The 27,351-nt window shown below is 36.6% G+C and overlaps 1 pseudogene across 2 annotated transcripts in view, besides 1 other annotated feature; it reads left to right on the forward strand.

Moving 5' to 3' along the window:
- The first annotated feature begins 5,146 nt into the window (after positions 1-5,146).
- Positions 5,147-27,351, forward strand: part of FRG1BP (FSHD region gene 1 family member B, pseudogene) — a 42,680-nt pseudogene continuing 20,475 nt past the window's right edge. Inside the window, exons 1-8 of one of the 2 annotated variants that reach the window (NR_003579.2) lie at positions 5,147-5,408; positions 7,568-7,634; positions 16,436-16,561; positions 19,180-19,291; positions 21,534-21,638; positions 24,845-24,936; positions 25,918-26,028; positions 27,205-27,318. The product of NR_003579.2 is annotated as an FSHD region gene 1 family member B, pseudogene, transcript variant 2 (transcript). Of the gene's footprint in view, positions 5,409-7,567; positions 7,635-16,435; positions 16,562-19,179; positions 19,292-21,533; positions 21,639-24,844; positions 24,937-25,917; positions 26,029-27,204; positions 27,319-27,351 lie in introns of those variants that run through there. The other variant, NR_145491.1, reaches the window with a different exon arrangement.
- Positions 11,985-12,486: an enhancer, noted in NCBI's record as "OCT4-NANOG hESC enhancer chr20:29618678-29619179 (GRCh37/hg19 assembly coordinates)". NCBI's record gives its function as "activates a minimal SCP1, AML or CMV promoter by ChIP-STARR-seq in primed H9 embryonic stem cells {active_cell/tissue: H9 hESC(primed)}" and the evidence as "EXISTENCE:reporter gene assay evidence [ECO:0000049][PMID:30033119]".

Below are 27,351 nucleotides of genomic sequence, written 5' to 3' on the forward strand. Positions count from 1 at the left end.
TTCATTGACTATACTATTAATATCCTGAAATACTCAAAAATTCTGTCTTAATTCTGTGAATAATTCACTTATTAATCACCCTATACTTAATGAACGGAATGGTGTTGGAATAAAGATAATTACAGGGCTAAAAGGGTTTTCTCTAGAGGCAGGTTATAGGATTTTTTTGTCTGACTGGAATAAAACAAAATTAATCAATATTTTCTGCAACCAGTGGCTTTTGACTTAGTCATCTATTAATATCTATCAATCACTATAACCTCAGTCCTGTTTCCTCCATTCTTCTTTTTGCTATCATAAAAACTGGTCCATTTTTTTCCTGTTAGATCTATATGTTTCTCCTCTTTTCTTTTCATCCAAATAACTGGTCATCAACTTAGTAGAGATAGTGCAATTGATCCGAACCCTACAGAACTCAGTGTTTCAATGTACATAACTTACATAACTGTCAAGCTGAAATCACTCTCAAATTTTTTTAATTCAAAATTTTAATTTCATTTAATCATATTTATTTATTCATTAATTTATTTTGAAAATAATTTTAACTTGTATTTTACATTCAGGGGTACGTGTGCCAGTTTGTTACATGGGTATATCTCATATTGCTGAGTTTTGGGGTATGAATGATCCCATCATCCAGATGCTGATTTGGTATGGTTTGACTCTGTGTCCCCACAAAAATCTCATGTTGAATTGTAATTCCCAATGTAGGGGGAATGACCTGGTGGGAGGTGATTAGCTCATGAGGGCAGATTTCCCCCTTGCTGTTCTTAGATGGTAAGTGAGTTCTCATGAGATCTGATGGTTTAAACATATGGCACATCCCCCCTGGCTCACTTGCTCTCCTGCCACCATGGTAGAACGTGCCTTGCTTCCCACTTCACCTTCTGCCATGATTATAAGTTTCCTGAAGCCTCCCAGCCATGCTTCCTGTACAGCCTGTGGAACTGTGAGTCAGTTAAACCTCTTTTCTTTATAAATTACCCAGCCTCAGGTAGTTCTATATAGCAGTGTGAGAACAGATTAATACATGAGCATAGTACCCAATAGTTAGTTTGTCAAACCTTGCCTTCCTCCTTCTCCCCTCTAGTAGTCCTGGTGTTTATTCTGTCCATCTTTATGTCCATGAGTACCCAGTGTTTAGCTCCCACTTATAAGTGAGATCATGTGGTATTTCGTTTTGTATTCCTGCATTAATTTACTTAGGATAATGGCCTTCAGCTGCATCCATGTTGCTTCAAAGGACATGATTTTGTTATTTTTATGGCTGCATAGTATTCCATGGTGTGTGAAATGGTTTGGAAGGTGGCCCCTATAAATCTCATGGTGAAATGTAATCCTCAGTGTTGGAGGTGGGGCCTGGTAGGAGGTGTTTGGGTCATGGGGGTGGATCTCTCATGGCCTGATGCTGTCCTTGTGATAGTGAATTCTTTCAAGATCTGGTTGTTTAAGGGTGTGTGGTACTTACCCCCACTCCCATTCTCTCTTGCTACTGCTCTGGCCATGTGATGTACTTACTCCCTCTTGGCCTTCCATCATGAGTAAAAGCTCCCTGGAGACTACACAGGCACCATGCAGATGCTGTCACCATGCTTCCTGTACAGCCTGCAGAGCTATGAGCCAATTAAACCTCTTTTCCTTATAAATTACCCAGTCTCAGGTATTTCTTCATAGCAATGCAAGAATGGCCTAATAATACTAATGTGGATGTACCACATTTTATTGATCCAATCCACTGTTGATGGGCACCTAGGCTGACTCCATGTCTTTGCTATTGTGAATAGTGCTGCGATGAACATGCAAGTGCGTATGTGTTTTTGGTAGAATAACTGACTTTCTTTGGGTCATATACCAGTAATGGAATTATTGGCTTGAAAGGAATTTCTATTTTAAATTATCTGAGAAATTTCCAAACTGCTTTCAACAGTGGTTGAACTAATTTACATTCGCTCCAATTATGTGTAAATATTCCCTTTTCTCCACAGCCTCCCAAGATCTGTTGTTTTTTGATTTTTTAATAGTAGCTATTCTGACTGGTGTAGGATGGTATCTCATTTTGGTTTTGATCTGCATTTCTCTGATGATTAGTGATGTTAAGCCTAATCTTTGCTACCAGAAAACTGGGAAAACACAGTGTCGCTTGTCAAAATAAATTGTTTTACTTTGCTTTAAAAATAATCAATTTAGTAGTATATTTCTTCCAGAAAAATTAAGAAGTAAACATTTAGAAATGTACAGTACCTTGCTGTTAAGTCTTCGCACAAGTATACCAATCGAACATAAAGGCCACTTTAAACTTTCATTTGAAATGAAAGACAATTTTTAAGAGGTTAAGGGCTAGTAATTTGTTAAAGTCCTGAAGTTAAGTTAGCTGAAGTAAATATAAAGACTTTCCTTTAATTAAAGCCTTTTAAATGAACACTTTAAAGCATAGTTGGTTTCTCCCTCAAATCTTGTCCAAAGACACTGTTTACAACTCAGTATATCAAAGGTTTCAGACATGATTATGAAGCTCCCTCAACTTACAATGTGCTATTTGCAACCTTAGTTGCTATCATTCTGGCTTTTCTACCTTTTGGCAACAATAAGCACACCCTTCCCATTTCTCCCCCACCCTGACTTACCCCTCTTTGCATTTAATGTATAATTTTTCTCAGAATGTTCTTACACATCTTTAACTGTAAATATGACAAAAGCACACAGTATAGTACATGTGCCACATGTATAAATGTTGTATCTATTCATACAATTTTCCTTTTAAAAAAGAAATATTTTATTTTCAAAAAGCAAAGACTCTAGGAATCTTTTCTAGCTGCCAGTCATAAAAACATAAATTTCTGGTTAGATTCCAAAATTTGCCTGACCATAAGAAACACTTGTGGTACTTGTCAAACACATGTATTCTGAGTCCCATCCGTGATCTCCTGAATCAGAATCAGCAGGTGAGAAGCCTGGGAATACACATTTTAAACAAACGTCCACAGTGATTATGATTAGTCAAGCTTGAAAAAAATTTCACTAGGATCTTTATGACTGAATAACCTCACAAACATAGGAAAGTTACTGGAGAAAAATACGAGCAGAATTTCAGAATTCTGCCTTTGCTGAAAGTGTTTGTTCCCTCCTCCTCTACTCATCAAGACCTGACTGCTTATGTAACTCCCCCAAACCACCAACACCTGGGAGGAGTTGAAAATGATTTTAATGAAGAAGAAAAGCTGATGTTTAATTTCAAAACTGACGGTGACAATAGAAGGGAGAGGCATGAATTTATCTTGATTCTAACACGAAGCATTGTATTTCAGTCAACAAACGAAATTGGTTTCATTTTTATTTTTTGTAAGTTTTCGCCAAACTCTATGCATATATAGAGGCTGGGCAAGAAAGAAATCCAGAAATATGGCATATGCCATCCCTTATTTATTTCCCCATGCGACCAGCCAACAGCTTCTTCACCTAGTCCCTGCTTCAAGCTGACTTTGTGTCTACTTCTCTATCGGAAATGGAGCTTCCCTAAAGACTGCCTCAATGTCAGTTACCCAGAGGCCTTTTTTCCATCTTGTGCTCCTAAACTTCTATGATATTAAATGATATTACCCTTTCTGGAAATTCTCCTTAGCTTTGATTTTATAATTTTACTCTAACTGTTTAATTCCTTCTTTTATAGCCTTTCTTTTCTCTATCCCTTTACTGCAGACATGTTGTACGGCTTTGTTCTTGACCTTCTGATCTCTCCACATTCATTCCCTCAGAGCATGTATCCATTTTCTTGGTGTCGGCCTTCCTGACTATCTGATTATTACCATCATATAACGATGTTGGTGATGAGCATAGCTAACATATCCTAGGCATTTTCCATGTAGGTTATAATAAGCACTCTATATAATTTGTACCATTTAATTCTTCAACCCTAAATGATACTATTACGAACCACATTGTATGAGATGAGGAAACTGAGATTTTCATCAAAACCATGGAAAGCCAACGTGAGGAGCCCCTGTGTGTCTCCTTTGTTAATGCCTCTGGGCATCATGGCATGTGGATTGCCCTAGAATGGGGATTAGGAAGCGCAGCACTGTGAAAACACCAGAAAATACGTTATGATAGCGGGTAAGGACGCTCATCTCCGCACATTGAGATGGTTTTATTTCTGAGTCAGGTTTGAAATGAGCCAATCCTGACTCCATGGTGCCACCAGGGATCACGAATTTAATAAGATCTTTGTGGATGCTTGGAACCCAACTGGTCTCTGTTTTCTACTTTAGGGAAAGAGCCACAGCTTGAGTGGGGTGGTTTTGGTGTCACATACGCTATCAATAATACCCACCGTTTTGGTGTCACATGTGCGATTAATAATACCCACCGCTGCAGAGGGATCACCGTGGACTACTCCTCGTTTCATCCCATGCTCTTGCGATGGATCCCTCTCACCTGTTTAATGATTTCATTCAAATTCTTCAGCGACCGCAGGACCCCGATTTGCCTTCTCTATCCTGGTTCCCATCACTCTGCTTTACAGGCCTGGCCTGCTCGCGGCTCCTCACACCAGCACTGCGCATCTCCCTCCACGCCTCTGCCCTGTTTCCTCCATCAGACAGGACTAGCTTCCTCCATCTCTATCGGGCAAAAGCCTGCCCAGCGTTCAAGACCCTCCTCAGATGCCGCCTCCAGGATTAGGCTTCTTCCTGACCCCTGAGCCTGTAACACGCGCCACCATAACTCTCCACCTCCGCCCACATTCCCACAGCACTCGCGACATCCGCGGGCCTCAACATGTCTCTTCATTCCATTTTAGGGTATTTCCTGTTTGTTTCCTGCACACACAGTCGCGCGAGGCACAGCCCTGAGTGACCTGCGCGGGAGTGGCCCGCGCTTCAAGATGCGCCGCCGCAGGCCGGGGAGGGCAGCCTGAGCCGCTTCCCGCCCCCGCGGGGACCGTCGCCAGCCCGCATCTCTAGCGAGAGGAGGTTCCACAGCGCGCCCGGCAGCCCCGCCACCGTCAGCACCTGCGCCTCGGGCGGGCTTTCCCCACCTCTGGGAGGCACGAATCCTCAGGGGCTCCTCGAGAGGGCGCCAGGGAGCAGATGCATGCGGACACCTTTCGGCCCTCTGCAGCCGCCGTAGCTCCTCCCTCACGCCCCGCCCCCCCCCCCCCTCCCGGCAGAAACCTGGAAGTGGAAATCTCGGGCATTCACCGTTTGGGTGAAGACGGAGGCGGGTTCTGGACAGACGTAGGCTGTCAGGGAGTGTTTACTTCGCCTCCACTTCTGTTCCTCCCTGCCCTGGTGCTGCTCCAGGTCACATACTCGTCCTGAGCCGGCTTCAGCCTGTCCGCGCAGAAGTCTCCCGGAGCCATGGCCTAGTACTCTTATGTGAAGTCTAGCAAGCTCGTGCTCAAGGGAACCGAGGTGAAGAGCTGGGTCCTGCAGCTCTGGTGGGAGCCTCCTCAGTTCTTTTCGGATGCACTCCACCCCCGCGAATCCGGTGGAAGCCGTGGTGCAGAGAGCCGGCTTTGTGGCCTCCCAGGCTTCGCTCTGACCCTGTCTGGGCTGGACGGAGGCCGGACCGCGGTTCCTGGCGCCTGTGCAGAGAGGGGCAGCCTCCCGTGCTGACGACCCTGGAAACAGGATAGACGGGCGGGTGACCCGTGGCCCCGTACCCACGAGTTTGGGTCCCCTGAGGCATCTCTCCAGGCCTCTGCCTGGTGGGTCTGCGTTAGTCTGATCTTGTAGTTCATTATAATAACTTCCTTTATTAGGGATTATTCTTTTCTCCATTGTCTCTTCCTGGAAAAATTATTGATTAATTTTTTTCTAAGCTAATATGTAGAGTGAAACCGGGATGAATCACACAGTGGTTGAGGTGTATATGGGCTTTGATAGGGATATGGGTTGGAACCTGCACTCTGTCATTTACTAATTTTGTAATTTGTGGCAAATTGGTTAATATGTCTGAACTTCCATTTACTCATTAAGAGATCAAGTATCTTTGAACCTCCGTTTACACATTTAAACTTTTAGACCATTTTTTATACCTTTAGAATACTGTGAGGATTAAATGAGAGAACATACATGCAGTAAATAAATTAAGCCAAATGTGAGGAGGAGGTCGTAGTGGTAATTTATTAGCTCTTTAGGAGAAAAATACCTGTGCATTCATATCCCCGCTTCTTTTTTAACTGGCAGATTTGCCTGAGGTTGACTGTACATACAAATATTGAGCATTTCCTCCTGGCCTCCGTGATAAACAGGGGTTTTGATATTGTTAGGCGAGATGGAAAGAAAGTATCAAGGAGTGAGCTGAAGCCACTGCCCTTGAGAACCCTCTCGAGGAGTCTGGCCTCATGAAGATGCCAGAATAAGTGGCAGGTATATCCTGAATGAATGTGAGATTTTTACTATGTGAAATGCCTGTGAGGAGTGGTGAGTTATCTTCTGAAAACTTTATGATGAAAATGCAGACAAGAGTGTCTTAAGATTATCGTAATAATCATAATTAATGCTTATATAGCACTTTCAATGCGCCAAGAAATTGTTGTAGGCACTTTGCACATTAACTTTCTTCAAATTGCTCTTGGGTTTTTATTTTTTTATTGCGATGTAATTCATAATTATAAAATTCACCCTTTTGTACAGTCAGTGGTTTTTATTATATATTCAAGAGGTTCACCACTGTCTAGTTGCTCAGCATTTTCATCATCTCAGAAGGAAATCTCTTCCTAACCATTAAAGCAGTCACATCCCATCTTCCCCCTCTCCTAGTCCTTGGCAACCACTAGTCTGCTATCTATGTGAAATTGCCTATTCTGAATATTTCCTAAGAAATCATGCAACATGTGGCCTTTTGTATCTGGCTTCTTTCACTTATAACATTCTTGAGGTCCATCAGTTTTGTAGCACTTGTTCCTTTTTATGGCTGCGTAGTAGTCCATTGTATGGATGTAATATTTTGTTCATCCATTCATCAGTTGATGAACATTTAGATTGTTTCCCCTTTTTGACTATTGTGACTAATACTAGTGTGAATATTCTTATGTAAGTATTTTTGTGGGTGTATGTTTTCATTTCCCTTGGGTATACATACTTAGGAGTAAAATTGCTGGGTCATATGGTAACTCTTTAACTTTTTGAGGAACGCCAAACTGTTTCCTGTAGATGCTGCACCATTTTACATTTCCACCAGCAATGTGTGAAGATACATATTACCTCTTAATCCTCACAATAGCCTTAAGAGTTAAGTTGTTATCCTAATTTTTTAAGTGGGGAAACTGACTCACAGAGAGATTCAGTACCTTTTCCCAAAATCACAGAGCTAAGAAGTGACAGAATCAGGATTTAAAATCTGGCAGTGTGGCTCTACAATCTGCTTTGAACTTTAACATAATATGTACAAAGCCTGAAGCAAATTCTCAGTACTGTATTTAAGAGGGCATAGCAATGTAAGTCTTCCTAAATCAATAATTTATAAATGAAACAACTTAAAAGACTTCCAAGTTTCAATCTTACGATATTGATTTATCACACAAATCAATATACTTAAACTCATCTATATAAATTATGTCCTGTAGTAAGAAGAAAAAGAGCAAAGATAAGAAGAGAAAAAGAGAAGATGAAGAAACCCAGCTTGATACGTTGGTGAGTCAGTTTTCAGTGCTTTATTCTGAAAAAAGTTAACATTTCTTGAGATCTCATTGAAAATATTTTCCTAGTTAGAAATTTATGATGTATTCATATTTGTCTTAAAGTGCTTAAATATTACCTACAGTTGCAAATTCCATTTATTCTTTAGCACAGTAGATGCTACTGATGCCTTTACTTCATTATCAGAACAGAGCACAGGAGAGAAGAATTACAACTCTCTGACTTAGTAGGCACCATTAGACTGCTTAATAATAGCTGGAGATTCTGATACATAATTTTAAAGGCTTAATGTAAATGTTATTCAACCAAATATATTTTACAAGCTATTTTCTTTGAACATGTATACATTTTAGTTGTAGAAGTCAGTTGTCTCTTAAACAAAGTATCTTCATAGGAAAAATCATTATTTTGTGAACTCTGAAATGAATGAAAATTTTAAATACAATATCAGGGTAGCCTGTAAATGATACTGGAAATAAACTGACCCAAACACACTTAACCAGCCTGTTTTCCGTTTAGCTGTTTCCATACTTTTTTTTTCTCTTTTAAAACTTGGCAAGTTGCATTTTGAATCTTCATAAATTATGGTAGCTTAAAAAATATATAAAATATGGAATGGTGTAAAGCTAATGTTCTGGAAGAATCATTGCTTTTGAAATGGCAAATCAACAATTCTAAAATTAGGGTAAATATCTAGGGTAGATATGTAGATGTGGAATTGCTGTGTCAAAGGATAGGTGAATGTTTAACTATATAAGAAACTGTCAAAATTTTTCAAAAGTGGTTGCGCTATTTTATCCTCCTTTTCAGTTTCTTAATGGTGGTTTTTGGATGGACAGCTTTTTTCTTTTTTTTTTTTTTGAGATGGAGTCTGGCTCTGTCACCCAGGCTGGAGGGCAGTGGCGCGATCTCGGTTCACTGCAAGCTCCACCTCCCAGGTTCACGCCATTCTCCTGCCTTAGCTTCCCAAGTAGCTGGGACTACAGGCACCTGCCACCACGCCCAGCTAATTTTTTGTGTTTTTAGTAGTGACAGGGTTTCACCATGTTAGCCAGGATGGTCAGAAGCTTTTAATGTTTATAAAGCTTTGTTTATTTTTTTTCTTTTATGGTTACTGCCTTATCTCTTTGATCTAAGAGATCTTTGCTTACCCCAAAGTCTGGAAAATATTCTACATTGTCTTTTAGAGGCATCATAGTTTTAGTTTTTACATTAAATCTGTCATTAATCTCAAATTAATTTTTGGCATGGTGTGAGTTTGGTTCCAAGATTTCCTTTTTTTTTTTTTTTTAACATCTTGATAGCCATTTGTGCCAGCGCCACTGGTGTTTCCTTTTTCCATTAATCCAGTTTTGTATCTTCATAAAAAGTCAATTAACTTTCTATGTATTGGTCTATTTCTGGACTCTGTTCTATCGATTTTCTGTTTTTCTTTTGGCATATTTATCTTGATTGTTATAATTTCATGAAGTCTTGAGATCAGGTAGTGTGTGTCCTCCAACTTTGTACTTACTATTAGTTTATTGATTTCTTCAGTGAAGCCTGTTGGATTTTCTCGGAGAATTGTATTGAGTCCAGAGCATTTGGGGGAGAATCAACATCTTAATATTGGGCCTCAATATTTCATAATTTTCAATGTAGCAGTCTTGCATGCGTGTTTAAAAATTTATTCTTAAGTATTTTATAATTTTACACTACTATCAGTAGAACTTTTGAACTTGATTTTCCAGTTGTTTGTTGTCAGTATGTAGATATACAATTGATTTTTGTATAGTGACTTTGTAGTCTGATAAGTCTGTTTCACTTATTACTTCTAGTGGTTTGTTTATATAGAAAACTAAGAAATTTGCAATTATGTTTCCTGTGACTATCGTTTTACTTCTTTCTTTCTAATCCTTATGTCTTGTCTTGCTTTTTATTGGTTTATTATACTGTCCAGGACTTCCATAGTGTTGAACAGAAGTCACGAGAATGGGCATAATTGCATTGTTTCCAAGCTTAGGCAGAAAGCTTTCAGTAGTCCACCATATGGTATGATGTCTGTATGATCTGCAGAGAAAACCTTTATCAAAATGAGGACATTCCTTTTAAACTTTGTTTCTTGGCAGTTTTTATCATAACGATGTTTAATGCTGTCAAATGTCTCTTTCTGTATCTGTTGAGATGATTATACAAATTTCTTCATTCTGCCAATGAATTACATTGGTTTCATTTTCAACTTTTAAACTAACTTTACATCCCTGAGATAAACCCCACTTGGTTGTGGTGTGTTGTCCTTTGGGATATTGCTAGATTTGATTTCTAGGTGTTTTTTTTTCTTTTCTTTTTTTTTTTTTTTTAAGATTTCTATATTGGTGTTGATGGGAGATATTGGACTTTGTATCCTTTTCTTGTAATGTCTTTATTTGATTTTGGTGTCAAGGTTTTATTGGGTGTCATAAAATTAGATGGGAAGTGCTGTCTCCTTCCCTGTTTTTGGAAATAGCTGTGTAAGATCGGTATGATTTCTTCTTTACATGTTTGATAGGATTTACCAGTGAAATCATCTGAACCTAGAGGGTTTTATTTGGTTTGGTTTTAGTTTTTTGTGGGAGAATTAAGATTTTTTAAGAGATATTTTCAGATTTTTCTGTTGTCAGTTTTGGTAATTTGTGTCTTTTAGGAAAATTTCATTTCATCCAAGTTGTTGGATTTATTGGCATAAAATTTTTCAGAATATTCCTTTAATATCCTTTTACTGTCTGTAGAATCTAATCTGTATTGCAGTCTCTTCATATTGGTAATTTGTGTTTTTTCTGTTTTTTCCTGGATCAGTCAGTCTAGCTGGAGGTTTATCAATTCTTTATAAGATCACTTATTTTAGATCATTAATGATCTTTTAGTACAGGGGTATTCAATCTTTTAGCTTCCCTGGGCCACAATGGAAGGAGAAGAATTGTTTTGGGCCACACATAGAATACACTAACGATAAGCTGATGAGTCAAAAAAAAAAAAAAGGAAAAAAATCTCATAATGTTTCAAGAAAGTTTATGAATTTGTGTTGGGCTGCATTCAAACCTGGCCTGGGCCACATGCAGCCCTCAGGATGGACAAGCCTGTTTCAGTATTACTTATTTTCTATTTTTTTCATTTTTTATTTCATTTATTTTCAGTCTTTATTTTCCTCCCTTTAACTTATTTTCAGTTTACTTTGCTCTTGTTTTATTGCTTCTTAAGAAGAGAGTTAGATCTCTTCATTCCACATTAGTTTTAGTTATAGTCAACACATTTTGCTTTCATTTTCATTCCATTCAAAATATCATCTAGTTTTCCTTGTGAGTTTTCTTTTCATGGACACTTGAGTTATTTAAAAGTGTATTGTTTTTTAATTTCTACTACATAGAGATATTATAAGTATGTTATTGTTGCTGATTTCTAATTCATTTATAGTATAGTTGGAGAACATACTTTCTTAGTGAATTTCCATGTACACTTGACAAGAATGTGTATTCTGCAGATGTTGGTTCAGGGTTTTTTTTTTTTTTGGAGATGAAGTCGCTCTCTGTTGCCCAGCAGGCTGGAGTGCAGTGGCACAATCTCGGCTCACTGCAGCCTCCGCCTCCCAGGTTCAAGTGATTCTCCTGCCTCAGCCTCTGGAGGAGCTGGAATTACAGGCACCTGCCACCATGCCTGGCTAATTTTTTTTATATTTTTAATAGAGACGGAGTTTCACCACGTTGGCCAAGCTGGTCTCAAACTCCTGACCTCAGGCGATCCACCCGCCTCGGCCTCCCAAAGTGTTGGGATTACGGGCGTGAGCCGTGGCGCCCAGTGGTTCAGTGTTCTTTAGATGTCAGTTAGATCAACTGGTGGAGCTTGTGGCTATGCACATCTTCTGTGTCCTTACTGATTTTTTACTCATCCTACAATGTATTGAGAGTTATGTTAAAATCTCCAGCTCTACTTGAGCAGTTTTTGCTTAAAGTATTTTGAAGCTGTCATGTGTACACACTTAGGATTGTTAAGTCTTCCTTATAAATTCAGTCTTTCATTTTCATAACATTTTAACCTTTATTTCTGTTAAATGTCTTGATGCCTAGTTAAATTATTTGACCACCCTTTTGCTCCTGTCAAGCCTGGGCCTTTGTTAGTTTGTGCTTATTTATTAGATTTTTACCTGCAGACTTAGACAGTGACTCTTACTCTAGGAGATGTTCATCCTCATGGGCCTCAGCCATATGTTCTAGGTATACTTGATGAGTTCTCTCCACTCTGCTATGTCCCAAATTTGTGTGATCTCTGGCATCTCCAGTCAGCCCTCAGAAGTGCCAGCCACTCTGCAGAGGCCTTGTGGAGCCTGCCTGCTGTATGCACTCCCCCCAGCCCTTGGCCCCAGACCTGCAGAGAACTTTTGCATTCTCTTTTGAGGCCTCACCTGTATGTAGTTCCCTCTTCTCCAGTACCTTATTCTATAAACTCCAAACATGTTAGCACTGCAAGACTCTCAGCTTAGTGACAGTGACATTGCCTCATTTTTGGAGGTCTCTACCTCTCTCTGTGTGGTCAAGAAACTGCCATTGGGCAGAAAACAGAAGTGTGTGTGAGATTTGCCTCCTGTGTTTTCCTGTTCTCAAATATCACAGTCCTGTTCTGCCTGTGTTCCAATCCCTGAAAAGAGTTTTCTCAAATATTCTATCCAGTTTCAGTTTTCTCATTGGTCATGGTGGGAGGGCAAGTCCATCTTGGCTGGAAGAGGAAGTCCTTCTTCATCTTTTTCTCTTTGTCCTTCCACCTTCTTTTGCATTGTGGATTTTCTAAACTTGCCGTATAAGTAAGCATGTGCCTATTTGTGAAGGGAAAGAAAAAACCCTTTTAATTTTTTAAAGCTGTTCTGTTGGTTCCTCACAAGGATCTGAAGGGATTGGTAAATAGGATGAAAGAAATTCTGTCTTTCACATGGAGAATACCATGTGTGACATTAATAAAAATGAGCATGTCTGTAAGCAAAGAGTTTCACTGAGCTCTGCTAGATTCAGAAGCTATTGAACTTACAACATCGTAGTTTGCAAAACACAGATTTGATTTACTCAGGAACTGAAGCTAAGTAAGCTATGTGTTAATAGAAAGTCTGTGAAGGGTACTTAGACTACAGTAAGATTGGGGAAGAAAATTCCATTTCCAAATCTAAGATATATCATTCCTTTTTGCCAAGCACATAATGAAGGTAGAGATTTAAGGGGGCCCTTAGCACAGAAGCACTGGGTTAGTCAGAAGGTGACGTGAGCTGTCACACAGCCTTGATTCTAGAATGAGGGTGCCCTGGTAGTATCTTATCAGCCATGACACTGGTACATCGGGCCAGTTTTTTTTTTTTTTTTTTTTTTTTTGAGACAGGCTCTTGCTTTGTTGCTCAGGCTGGAGTGCAGTGACGTGATCATGGCTCATTGCACCCTCGACCTTGTAGGCTCAAGCAATTCTCTCACCTCGGACTCCCGAGTAGCTGGGACCACAGTCTTATACCACCATACCCAGCTAATTTCTTAATTTTTTTGTAGAGATGGGGGTCTCCTTTTGTTGCCTAGGCTGATCTTGAACTCCTGGGCTTAAGTGATTCTCCTGCTTCCACCTCTCAAAGTGCTGGGTTACAGGCATGCCAGATATATGGAAGCATTCTCAACTATGTGAAAATATGTGAAAAGCTTTGTTATGCATTGTGAGACAACACAGTGGGAATATTTCATCATCTGCCTAAGGTTTAAAAGGAAATAACTTTAAGCATGTGTCTAAATAGCAAGTAATGTTTTAGAGCGGATTCTCTTAAATTCAGCTTGGGCGTCTGCAGCATATACACAGCTTGAGCTGTAACCTGACATAGAGACAGGCAACTTCAGTGCCCACTGTTCCTAGGATCCACGGCTTTTTCACACCTAAAACCCCTGAGTGGCACTGTTAAGTATTATGTTATGTTACTTTAGTCATTAAACGTATAAGCATACCTCCAAAGGTTGAATGTAGGCCACTTGCAGAAAGTAGGCAGAATGCTCACATTTAATTCTTGATGATACTGTGTTTAGCTTTCTTATTCTTTGAAATATCATTGAGAAGAAATACTGGCATCTGCTCAAAGTAATTTCTTTTTCAGTTGACAATATTATAAGTAATGTTATTGTATCATTTCCCTACTTGGACAGAGTGTGAAAATTTTGAGGATTGTCTGCCACAAATTTCTTCTTCATTTGCAAAACATTCATGAGATATTATATTTAAATGATTTTATTTAATATTAAGTGTACTTGGTGAAGGTGGCATAGAAAATACAAAATAAAACTAATTTAAAAATATTAACTATTACATTTATAAGAAAGACTTGCTAATCATAACACTGTTCATAATGATTCTGAATAAAGCATTATTTCTTTTACTGAAAACAATTGTAGCTATAACTCAATCATCTAAATTGTCATTAGTTTTATTTCTTTCTAATCGCCTCTAGCTGAAATTTTAATTTTGATTAATTTTCTTTTTCTCCATTGGTTTCGTGTGTGTGTGGAGGTAAAATATACAGAATGTAGAATTTGTTAGTTTTTCTATTTTTACGTTTACACTTCAGTGGCATTTAAATACATGCACCATTTTACCTTCCCACCAGCGTTGCACAAGGTTTCAGTTTCTCCACATCCTGCCCAACATTTGTTTTTCTGGTTTTCTTGGTTTCTGTTTTTTGTTTGTTTTGATAATAGCATTCTAATGGGTGTGAAGTGGTATTGCATTATGGTTTTGATTTATATTTCCCTAATGACTAGTGATGTTGAGCATCTTTTCCAGTGCTTATTGGCCATTTGTATATCATCTTTGGAGCAATGTCCGTGTATATCCTTTGCCCAGTTTTGAATTGTATTTGTCTTTTTGGAGTTCTCTATATAGTCTGGATATTAACTCCTTATCATGTATGTAGTTTACAAATATTTTCTCCATTCTCTGGGTTGCCTTTTACTGTGTTGACAGTGGTTCTTGATGCACAAAACTTTTTAATTCTGATGAAGTCCAGTTTGTCTATGTTTTCTTTTGTTGCCTGTGCCTTTGATGTTCTATATAAGAAATCATTGCCAAATTCATTGTCGTGAAGCTTTTCCCATTTTCTTCTAAAAGTTTTCTAACTTTAGCTCTTACGTTTAGGTCTTTGGTCTATTTTAGTTACTTTTTGTATTTGGTGTTAGATAAGGGTCCAACTTCATTTTAGCTGAAATTTTATATATTTTAAAATTGATTATGAAAAGCATGAAATGTTTAGTTGAATAGAAAATTTTGTGCAGTGGAATTAACTGAATCTTTAAAACCTTTTTATTATGGAAATATCCAAACTAATCCATACATAGAAGAATATAATGAGTCCCCCATGTGCCCAGGCCCCAGCATTAATTATCAATATTTTGCCAATCTCGTTTCATTTACATACACACCCCCACACACATTTTTTCCTAGAAAATTCTAAGTAAAATCACAGATATTATGTCATTTTACCCATAAGTACATAAATGTACATTTCTTAACTTGGTATGTCTTTCTCTCATCACCTGTTTTGTCCTTTACTTTTATGCATTATACTATGTCATTATCAGACCTTGTAAAATTAACAAGAATTCCTTAATATTTCATATCCAGTTAATGATTGACTCATTTCTACTCTAGTTAAAGTACAATTTAGGAGGAGGTTTGAGGATATTTTTTAACATTAAGATATAAACTTTTATAACAACTGCTAAAATAATTGTTGCTAAAGTCTAACATTTCTATTGGCAAATTGGAAATTAGTATACATAGACATAGATTCTGCTCATTTTGCTTTCAATCTAAAATCGTAGTTAAGATTACTGGCCGGGCGCGGTGGCTCACATCTGTAATCCCAGCACTTTGGGAGGCAGAGGCAGGTGGATCACGAGATCAGGAGTTCAAGACCAGCCTGGCCAATGTGGTGAAACTCCGTCTCTACTAAAAATACAAAAAAAATTATTCGGGCATGGTGGCAGGCTCTTGTAACCCCAGCTACTCTGGAAGCTGAGGCAGAGAATTGTTTAAATCCAGGAGGTGGAGGTCGCAGTGAGCCAAGATCGCGTCACTGCACTCCAGCCTGGGCGACAGAGCGAGACTCCGTCTCAAAAAAAAAAAAAAGATTACTATGCTAGAAAGTCTTCCTGAGAGACATTTTTAAGAAGTATTATGATAGGCATTGCCTCTGGAAAGCAGGCATGAATAGATGGCTAGGGTCTATCATGAGAGAGACCGTTCTCCATATATCACTTTGTACCTTCACATGTTGCCTTTTGTTTTGTTTTGGTCTTTTTTTGAAACAGGACCTTGCTCTGTCACTCAGGCTATAGTGCAGTGGCGTGATCATAGCTCACTATAACCTTGAACTCCTGGGCTCAAGTGATCCTCTTTCACAGCTCCCCGAGTAGCTGGGATTACAGGCATGCACCCCCATGCCTGGCTGTATGTTGCTATTTTGTATTTTAAAAACCTAATCCTGACTGTGCTGGTAGTTGCATGAATCTGTGTACACACATGCGAACAAGTACATGTAAAACTGGTGAAATCTGAATAAGCTTCATGGATTATATCAATGTCAGTTTCCTGATTCTAACAATGTATGATACTTATGCAAGATGTCATCATTGAGACAAAGTAAGTAAAGGATATGTGAGATCTTCATATTATTTCTTACAACTGCAAGATAAAAGGTTTTTAAAACTAAGTTATAATAACAACTCTGTGTCAAAACTAAAATATAAAGTTGAAATATCAATTTTATTTTTTAGGAATCTGGTGAACAGTAACAAACTTTGGTGAAATTTCAGGAACCATAGCCATTGAAATGGATGAGGGAACCTATATACATGCACTCGACAATGGTCTTTTTACCCTGGGAGCTCCACACAAAGAAGGTTTGTGTCTGGAAGGGAAGATCCTGCCACAAGTGTAGATTTTAGGACATTCATTCACTTAGGCCAAACTCTAACTAGTATCAAACATTTTCCAAAGGAATGTAACCATTGCATTTGACTCTTCCATTTTTTTTAATTCCTTAATATTTACCAGCCATTGGCAAGTCCCTCTTTCTAATATAAGCATTTGAAAACATTCCGTATAGTTCCAGAAGAGTATCTTTGGAAATCTAAACAATATGAATAATTAAAATAGTAAGTGGAAAGAAAAAAGAAAACCTATTTCAGTCAAACATGTTTGAATTTCTTTTTTATTCAGACTTATTACCAAAACTAACCTGGGTGCATTTAACAATTTGAAGTTTCCTCGTTTTCTTTAGCCCATTAGAGGAAGCACTAATGAGATACGAAGTAATTAGAAGATAAAAAGCAGTATCATTTGGTCAGCAAGGCCATCCATTGAATAAATGAAAGCATTTAGCTTTTTTAAATAAGTGCTTACTTATGACTGTATTTTAAAACATAAAGAGAAGCTATCTCTAAAGTTATTAAATAAGCATTATATCACCCTGTCTTACTCAGTGTATAAAATTAGCACTGTAGTTAAAAGAAGGTAAAATAGATCTTGATTCCAAAGATACAGTATTACAGTGACATCAGTATATCTGAATATTCTTACATTTAATTGCAGAAGAAAATAGCCACATTTTTTAAAGCAAAATAATGTCTTTATATTTATAGCAAATGTCAAATTTATTTTCAAATGTTTTTTCTCCAATATTGATGAGGGCCCTAGTCCTCCAGAGCAGTTTATGGCTGTCAAATTATCTGATTCCAGGTGAGCTTATGTTGTAATATAATTAGTAACCAGTTATTTTAAAAATTTAATTGTATTCATTAAAAATTTTAGTGTCTGTCTTAAGGCCATGGTAATTTTGATATAAAAAATGAAATAGCTTTTTTGAAAAGTAGATTTTGTGATCTACTTTTAGTGGATTTCCTATCAATATATAATGCTAGGCTGGAAAAAAGATATGTAAATTAAAAAATGAAGATTAATAATTTCACACACCAAGTAAGATAGATTAAAAAATAAATCAAATAGTACAAAACCTGGTTCACTGTTGCTATGATATTTAAACTCACTGTTTGGAAGTCTAAAGACAAACAGGAAGACTAAAAAAAGGGACATTGTTGAAACCAGCAGAGAATGTTACAGCATCATAACAACCAAAAGAATATTTTTACTCACTATTTTTACAGTCATTTTATAAAGTAACCTTTTTTATTCTCACCTTGTGCAGAAATATAGAATGATTCTTTGGGTAAAAGATACTGAAAGTGAATTTACATACTTTAGTAATTGGTTACATCAACATGATAATGATTTCTGTTATATAATCATTAACGTATAAAGGAGTAAAAGTCAATTATGGCATCCGAGGAGATTCTTAGTAAGGTAAAAGAAATCATAATTTTAAAAAATCACATTAAGATGATTATTTCTATACTTTCTTTGAAATTCTGATAAGTAGGGTGAAAGACAGAATAAAAGCAGAGGAAGAAAAATTCAATAGTTTTAAACTGCTTTACAATTATAAACAAAAAAAGATTATACAGAAAATTAACTGACAAATGAGGAAAATATTTGCAACAATCTTAATAGGCAGTGAGTTCTTACTCTTCATATGTATCTTGTATAGAATTCATAGCACTGAAGACCCCAGTAGAGAAATTGTGAACAATCAGATCTGAATAGAAAAATGGACAAGGGACATTACCAGATAATCTAAAAGCTAGAAAGGAAAAGAAAAACAATTGTTATTCTAGTTAACTACTAAAATGCAAATTAATAGGATACTGTTTTTTTTCCATATCAGGTTTTCAAGTATTTTTTTAGAGTCATAATGTTTAAAAAAAATCCATGATACAAAACATACTCTATTAATTTGAGGTAAGAATGTAAATGGAAGCAGCATTTTCTGGAAAACAGTTTGATGACATAAAGTTTTAGTAATTTATTATTGAAGGTTATAACTAAAGAGGTATAATTGAAGAATGATGAATTTTGAAAATATTTGTTATGTAATATATAAGGTACAATGTTTATATTAAAAAAGCAAAATAAAAAACTAAATTTAAAACTTTACTGTCCAATATGGCAACAACTAGTCACATGTAGCTTTTTTTTTTTTGAAGGCACAGAGTCTCTGTCACCCAGGCTGGAGGGCAGTGGTGTGATCATAGCTCACTATAACCTCAAATTTCTGGGCTCAAGCACTCCTCCTGCGTCAGCCTCCCAAGTAGCTGGTATTACATGTGCACACCACCATGCCCAGCTAACTTTTTAAATTTTTTGTAAAGATGGGGTCTCACTATGTTGTCCAGGCTGATCTTGAACTTCTTGCCTCAAGCAATTCTCCCATTGCCTTCCCAAAGCACAGAGGTTACAGGAGTGAGTCACCACTCAGCCACATGCATCTTTTGAACACTTGGAATATGTCCAGTCTGAAACTTTAGATATGTACACACCCACACACATACACATGTCCTGTTTTGATGTCCTATAATTAATTTTCTCTCCGTTTTTAACTTTTATCTATCTTATTAATGTACAGAATCGCCCTGAAATCTGGCTATGGAAAATATCTTGGTATAAATTCAGATGAACTTGTTGGGCATTCAGATGCAATTGGACCAAGAGAACAATGGGAACCAGTCTTTCAAAATGTAAGTGCTGTTATTGTTTATAAAAACTTCCTGTCAGTTTAACAGAAAGTCTGTAACAGTCAATCATAATATATTTAAAAAGAAAAAGTAGGATGCAATAGTATAATACATTAAATTGGAATAAACCACTAAGAACATAGAGCCTTAAAGAGATCTCAAAATATAGTGCAACAAAAATAGCATTAGTACTTTTGTCCACAATTATTTCTGTATACCCTTAGTGCCTAGATATGGATCTCATTTCCATTGAAGAACCAGTCAATTTTAGGTCACAGAGTAGGAAAACAGAATAGTTCCTAAGTATCTTCTTTTTAGCAGAAATCATGGATGTTTTCAGAAACATTACAGGCCGTAAGCGAACAGTGGAGCTAGCTAAGACCAAGTTGTGACAATTTGCGTATAAAATATAAATAATAATAGTTCATTGAAGTAAATTATCTCTAAAAGACTTTCAGTTCATAAGCTTAAAATAGTGTACGAAAAGATAGTTTTAATATAAGAAGAAAAAAGTTAATGTACTAATTCTTTATTTTATTAAGTAGACAGTTGTAGTATATGGATGTTTTGTTAAATCTTTGTTGATACAGAATACATAATTTCCTTTTTCTGTTTGTGTGAGAAGTAAAGATTGAACAAAAATATGTGAGTGCTAAACTGTCTTTAAAAAGTAGATAACTATATCAAAAACAGTAAGGACCAGTGGGCACCACGCAGAACAAGCAAATAGAAGATAAGCTCAGCCTTTGAGTAGCAGCTTTGGTAGTATACAATAATGAACTGAAAATAGGAACTCAGCAGTGTTTTCTAAGATGACAGATTAAACAAACATCCCACCAGAAAGAGGTAATCACTTAGACTAATTTCCTCATCCCCTAGGATAAAATCTTAAGTCAGTGACTTGAAAACTATTTTGACCCAATCCATTGAGAAATGCATTTTTACATTGCCAGCCCAGCACAAACATATGTATAACTGGAGCAAGAGTTGTACTTAACAATACATACTTATCCATGTGTTATGCACCTTGATATTTTGTATTCTCTTTTACCCCTTCCTCTGTGTGTCTGTGTGTATTCCTTTCCCCCCCAACCCACCCAATACCGTTCAGGAAACATTACATTGATTTCATTACCTGCTAATGTGTTGCAACCCCTTTGAGATGATCCTACTAGTTATGATGAGATGCTTCTAATAAAAGTTACACCAGTAGAAAATGCCAATATTTCATAAGGCCAGGATGATCGCTTAGATAGTACTAATAATACAACACTTTAGGAAAGTTCATTTCATTTTATTTTTAGGAAGGACACTAAGTTTCAAAAATTTAAATTTAAATGAAAGAGGGTCTTAAAACTGTATTGCGAAAAGGACTCAGCTGAATAATCTGTGGCACAGGTTTAAATCGCCTTGGACCACACCGCCATGTTCCAGGGCTCACCAGGAGCCATCCAGATGAGAGACCACCCAGCCCTTGTGACTTGACTAAGAAATTAAATCCATGTTATCAGCACATTTTTAACTGGATGTGATATAAGGTTAACATATTTTGTAATCATTGTATTTATAAATATTTTGTCTAAATGTTATGGTATTCCAAGTTTTCCAAAAGAATCAACCAAATACAAGTTATAAATAAACGTTATATTTGTTACGGGAGTTAAGCTAACCAAATTTATAACCCAGATTTAAATACACAAGAAAATCAGGTTTTACAGTTTTGTTTAATAGAAACCAGTGTAATACATCAAACATTAAACAACTAAAAATGTATATGAATATTTATTTTCACACACAAAAGTCCCTCAGACATTGATTCTTAAATTCAAAACACCAAAGGCATTGTATGTACCTTTTCATGTTTTCTAATTGTGAAGAAAATAAATTTTACTTAAAATGTTAATATCTGAATAAAGTATGCATTCATAATTATGTTCTTGTCTTTAAAGTTAATTTTCCAAGCAGAACTAAATCAGTTTTATCTTCAGTAGATCTTTTAGAAAGGAAGCAATCCTACTAGGAAGATACACTACAAATGTTTATTGTGGTAATCTTTGAATAGTAAAATGAAAGGTGATTTTGGTTTCCTTTTCTATATGTTCTTGTATTATATTTTTGAGGTTTTTCTCTCAGTTCTTTTCTGTGACTTTTAAATCAGGGAGGAAAAATTAATTCAGTCTAAGCACTTAATGTTTCTTCCACAAGAAGTATCCTCATGGCTATTTTGTTATTTTGTTTCACTTAGGGGAAAATGGCTTTGTTGGCCTCAAATAGCTGCTTTATTAGATGCAATGAAGCAGGGGACATAGAAGCAAAAAGTAAAACAGCAGGAGAAGAAGAAATGATCAAGGTAATGATGCCATTTTATACAGATGACTGAATTCACACATGCGATGTGACTGTATCTCTTTAAAATGTTAAGTCATCATTTACTGTCACTTTAAAGATTCAGTTAATAGCTTTTTATAATGTGGTGTTTCAAATAGACTCATTTTTAATTATAAATCCCATAGTTGATGGCTTGTTTATACAATGTGGTAGAGAAATCAGTGCATCTAGGAGCTACCTTGCCATTATCTCCATGGATTAGTATCTTTTTCTGGTAGTTCCACATGCTCTTTTTAAGCTTCCATTTTCTTGTTTTCTTGCGTGTATTTTAAAATCTAATTTTTTAAATAGATAACATGTACATGTGGTCCAACATTTTTAAATAAAAGCATATGAAGATGAAGATATATGCCTGCCATGCATCTTACTCACCTGTGTCCCAGCTCCGGTTCCTCTTTCCCTTTGTTTTTTTTTTTATAGCCTCCTAAAATTTCTTTATAAACATATGAATATATTTATAATTTTCAACTGTTTTACACTAAAGGCAACCTTCTCTATAGTCTTCTCGACTTTGATTTTTTTTTCCTTAAAATTGTATCTTGGAGAGTTTTCTACTATTAGTTTGAATGTAGAAAGTTTTCTCTTTTTCTTGCTTTTCCTCTCTTTCTCTCTCTCTCTTTTTTAACAGCCACATAATATTCCATTTTAGGGATGTACCTTAATTTATTTAGTCTTTTGTAGATGGAAATTTAGGTTGTTTCCAGTCTTTTGCTCTTCTAAATAGTGCTGCAGTACATAACATTGAATATGCATCAATTTGTAGATGTGCGGGTGGACCTGCAGATAAATTTCCAGAAGCAGAATTACCAGGTCGGGGTATACGTGTTTGTATTTACATAATGCTTGAGCTTCTGTGATGATAATCACTCTATGAAACATTAAAAATCATAGCAGAACTGCTGGCTCCTTAGCCCTTACATTTTAAAAATATTTTTATTAATAGTACCCATCTTCTTTGCATTAGGAGAAACATGAATCACATAAAACATGATTTTTATTTTATTTTTAAAATTTGTGTGCATCACTAAGCTGGAAATAAAAGTTCCTTATTCCAGGCTAAATTCCCTCATCCGTAGTCAGATGCATTATCCATTGCACCAGTGGCCTGTGCCCTCCCTAATCCTACTCTTTGTTTTACATCATTGTAAAAGTTACACAGACATCTTCATATCAAGGTGAAATTCTAAATAATACTGTTAATATAACCTAGATAGGTAGTTAACTGGAATTTGATGAAAACATTTAAGGCTTAATTTTTTAGACTCACAAAAGCCACTGATCTTTAATGATAAACATATACCAGGATGTGTCTAAAGAATAACTCCCGCCTTCTTGACACATGGCTTTTCTGTGTCTTGGCATTTCATCGCAGTACTGAGCATCCTGAACCTTGCTTTGTTTGTCTCTGTTGGGAATCACAGGTTGCATCCAGTCTGACCCAGATTTGCTCTGTAAGGCATTGTGGGGGCCAGAGTGGAAGGCTCTAAGAGAGGGGGCAAATGCCTTTTCTAAAATGCCCTTCGTTCTTATAATTAGAGCATAAAAATTTATGTTACATTTTTCTCTACTACCAGTGTAATTTAAAAGCATCTATCAATTCTCTGTATGTGCTTCATGTTAGATTTCTGGTCATATGTTTGATTTTCTTCTTAGAATAGTCTTGATTTCAGATAATTTCAAATCTAAAGCTCAAACAATTTCAATTTAAAATGTAGGCATTTTCTTACAGTTAGAGAAGTGAAATGTTATACTTTTCGTTGCATGCATCCGGCACATGCGCACATGCGTTATAGTCTTGAATTTCCATAATGATCCTGTGAGGTGGATGTGAGCTCAGCCTTACAGACAGGAAGACAGCCTCTGACCCTCCTTACATCCTCGTGGTTTTTGTCAGTCACTTCATGGAAATCACAGTGATTTCAAGGTGTGGTAGGACAGGATGTGTACCCAGGCCCAGCTGACTCCAGAGGCCACTCTCAGTATTTCATAGCACATTGCTTCTCAAGAAACAGGTCATTGAGGAAATGCAGATGGGTTTGTGACTTACATTTAATTTTACTTATTTATATTTTATTGTATCATGTGTAAATTATTTTTCATCTGGATATCATCACAAAAGTGTTATTGAAGGCAACAATTGCAAATATATGTGCAGTGCTTTGCACTTATACAAAGATACAAAGATACTTACACAAAGATTGCGTTTTTCACTATTTAAAGAAATTTTCAGATGAAATACCAAGTTTTCTGGGTCTCTTTGGTTAGTCAAGTACTTGGAAGCTCTGAACAGTGATTATTTAGGACACTTTTCGTACCATTTAATTGCAAGCTCTCCTAATCTCTGTCAGCCCTTCATCTTTATGACCTTGCCTTGTCTACCAGAACACACATCCCTCTTACTAAAGGTAGCATTGTGCTACAGGCCCTAGCAGGGAATGTTTTCAGGTCTGGGACCCCTCTAATCAAAACTGTCACAAAGATGTCATTGGCACAAACGCGTTATTTGTCATCACTGTCTAAGCAGCCCTGGAACTGGACTCTGGCCACAGAGATCCCTTAGGAGACATGAGTCCTTACCATTGCCAATTGCCTGTTCTGTGGGCGATCCTAATCGTTGAATGCAGAACAATTAATTTATGACATGTGATAGTAAGCATCTGTCCAAACTTAGGAGGATATAAGAAGCTAGTAAAAGAGGTGGGTTCCAATTAATTAAAAACAAGTTGTGTAATGTTAAAAGTTTTAATACTTTGGTAATAGTCTGTGCAATGTAAAATAGCTATTAAGCTTTCAATCTGATCAAATGAACACTTGTCTACTAGGGATAATTTGATCCTAGTGTATTCACTTGGAGGACAAAGTTAAATTAACTAATGATTGCTTTATTGCCTAGCAGGATCTGATGTGTAAAATGTTTCTGAAATAATTTTGTCTGTAGTGTTTCTGACACAAGGGCTGCGGAGGAAGCATGTGACAGCACTTACTCATATAGATTATATATATGAAGTAAAAACACATAGCCAGAACCTGTCTTTTTCTGATTATAGTTGCTCAGTTAATTTTTTCTTCTGCATAAGAAATCATCTTGAATGTTCTTATGTGACACATAAAGTGGGGAAGGTGGAAGATAAACATATAACCCATTGGATTCTCTTTTCCAATATCTAGATTAGATCCTGTGCTGAAAAAGAAACCAAGAAAAAAGATGACATTCCAGAAGAAGACAAAGGAAATGTAAAACAATGTGAAATCAATTATGTGTATGTATGCTTTTCCTTTTAGACCTACAGATTTGACAGTGAAGTGCTTCTCAAAGTGCTTTCAAAATAAATTACCTAATTAGCTGGGGATGGTGTTGCATGCCTGTAGGCCCAGCTACTCAGGAGGCTGAGACAGGAGGATTGTTTGAGCCCAGGAGTTCAAGGCTGCAGTGACCTCTGATCACCACTGTATTCCAGCCTGGGTGACAGAGCAAGACCGTGTCTGAAAAAATGAAAACTGATAGACAAGAAGAGGCAACACAATGTAGCCTCTAGGACAGAGCACTGAGCTAAATGCTTTTCTTGAGGTTTCAGGTTTCCTAATCATCCTACCAGCTCCCAAAGCTAGTCACTTGGGTTAGTCAATCTCTCTATTCATTCATAGAATGGGCGTGATGCCAGTCAAAGGCTGTGCTATGGTCAGGACAGAGGGGACTCCAGCCAGCATGCCCTAATAGAAGTGGGGCCTTCTGCTACCCAGTCAATGAGTGGCCCTCCTCTTGAGAGGTCATGAAGGTCATCTTTGTTGTTCAAAAGCTCCAGCTTATTAAAAAAATACAATTAGACTTTTTTTTTCTCCCCCAAGACAGAGTCTCACTCTGTCCCCCAGACTGGAGTGCAGTGCCACTATCTCGGCTCATTGCAACCTCTGCCTCCCAGGTTCATGTGATTCTCCTGCCTCAGCCTCCCGAGTAGCTGGGACTACAGGCACGCGCCACTACGCTCGGCTAATTTTTGTATTTTTAGTAGAGACGGGGTTTCACCATGTTGGCCAGGCTGTTCTCAAACTCCTGACCTCGAGTGATCTGCCTGCCTTGGCCTCCCAAAGTGCTGGGATTGCAGGCATGAGCCACTGCACCTGGCCTACAGTTAGACTTTTTTAATAAGTGAAAAAAGAAATTAACAGTATTTATAAATTTAATAGTAAATATGTGTAATCAGAGTTTGAGGTATTTTTCAATGAAGACATTTTCTTTGCAGAAAGAAATTTCAGAGCTTCCAAGACCACAAACTTAAAATAAGTAAAGAAGAGAGTAAAATTCTTAAAAAGGCTCAGAAAGATGGATTTTTGCATGAGACGCTTCTGGACAGGTAGCTATTTATTTACTTATTTTCACTATTTTCAGTAGCTAATAGAAATGGCATGTAGAAAACCTATATTCTCTTAAATTACTGTAGTTTTCACATTTTTGTCTTTATTTATAATTTATGAGTGTGGCAATATTACCTAGAGAGGACATCATGAGTTTGGGAAAAGACTGTCAAGAAAGAATATCTAAAAATTATAACCGATTATAAGTATATACTTTAAGAAATTCAGGTTTGACTGTATCTACTTCATAAATTTATCATTATCTTTTTATAACTATTAGAACCAGAGTTAGAAAGAAGCAGTTTGACTAATATAAAAATTCTGTGGATTCTGTTAGAGTAGTTCATGTTCCTTAAAATAAGCATAGATCAACTAAAAAACTAAGTATAAAAGCTAAACAAGTGAAATTGAAGCAGTTTTATTGTAAGATTTGGAAGAGTGCAGGATGTTTATCATAGCACATTATTCATATTTATTACTCTTCCTATGTAGATAAGTAATGTCCTAGATTTACAACATAGAAAAACAGGTAGAGACGTTTAGCTGTGAGTGTAAAAGTATAAATCAATTAAGTGCCAGATTTTGATAATCACCAGCCGCTCATTTAAGTCCTATGTTACAAAGTTACTCTTACCCTTTTTTTACATTACTTGATAAAGGCAATGTTTAATTACATATTTCCTGTTAACTAGCTGGTAGAGTTCATACCTAAAGTCAGTAAATAATGTTAAGAATTTTTTCCAGCTGAGCAAATGGATATGTATCTAGTTGTAAGAAATCAAGAAGAGGATATAAAATATAATCAGGATGTGGACTCTGAAACGGAATAACCTCTTTGTCCTGTAACTTTTTTCACTTGTAATAATACAGCATTCTCACCCTATTAAATGGAAATTTAGAGCACCCTTAAATTCCGGAATAATTAAAATTGCTATTTGGATTGAAAAAGCCCTTAGGCAATATTTATTGAATATTAGGAAATAACTTTTATAAGATTAGAATCCATTTTTTATAGAAACCAAATTTAAAAGTATACATATTTTAATATGTGTTGTGGTAATACAATAACCACAATTGAACACACAGTTTTAAAGCTTTTTATATTTAGTAGCAGTTGAATATATATGGCATGTTTTACATAGATTAATTTTACTATTTTTCTTTGTTTAAACAAGAGAACCAAATTGAAAGCCGACAGATACTGCAAATGACTGGAATTTTTGTTTCTGCCTTATCTTTTTGTGTTTTTTTTTTCTGAATAAAATATTCAGAGGAAATGCTTTTACAGAGTTCTTGAGTTGTTGTGAAATTATTGTTTAGCT

Source organism: Homo sapiens, chromosome 20 (assembly GCF_000001405.40).
Source record: "Homo sapiens chromosome 20, GRCh38.p14 Primary Assembly".
In the NCBI taxonomy this organism is placed as follows: Eukaryota; Metazoa; Chordata; class Mammalia; order Primates; family Hominidae; genus Homo; species Homo sapiens.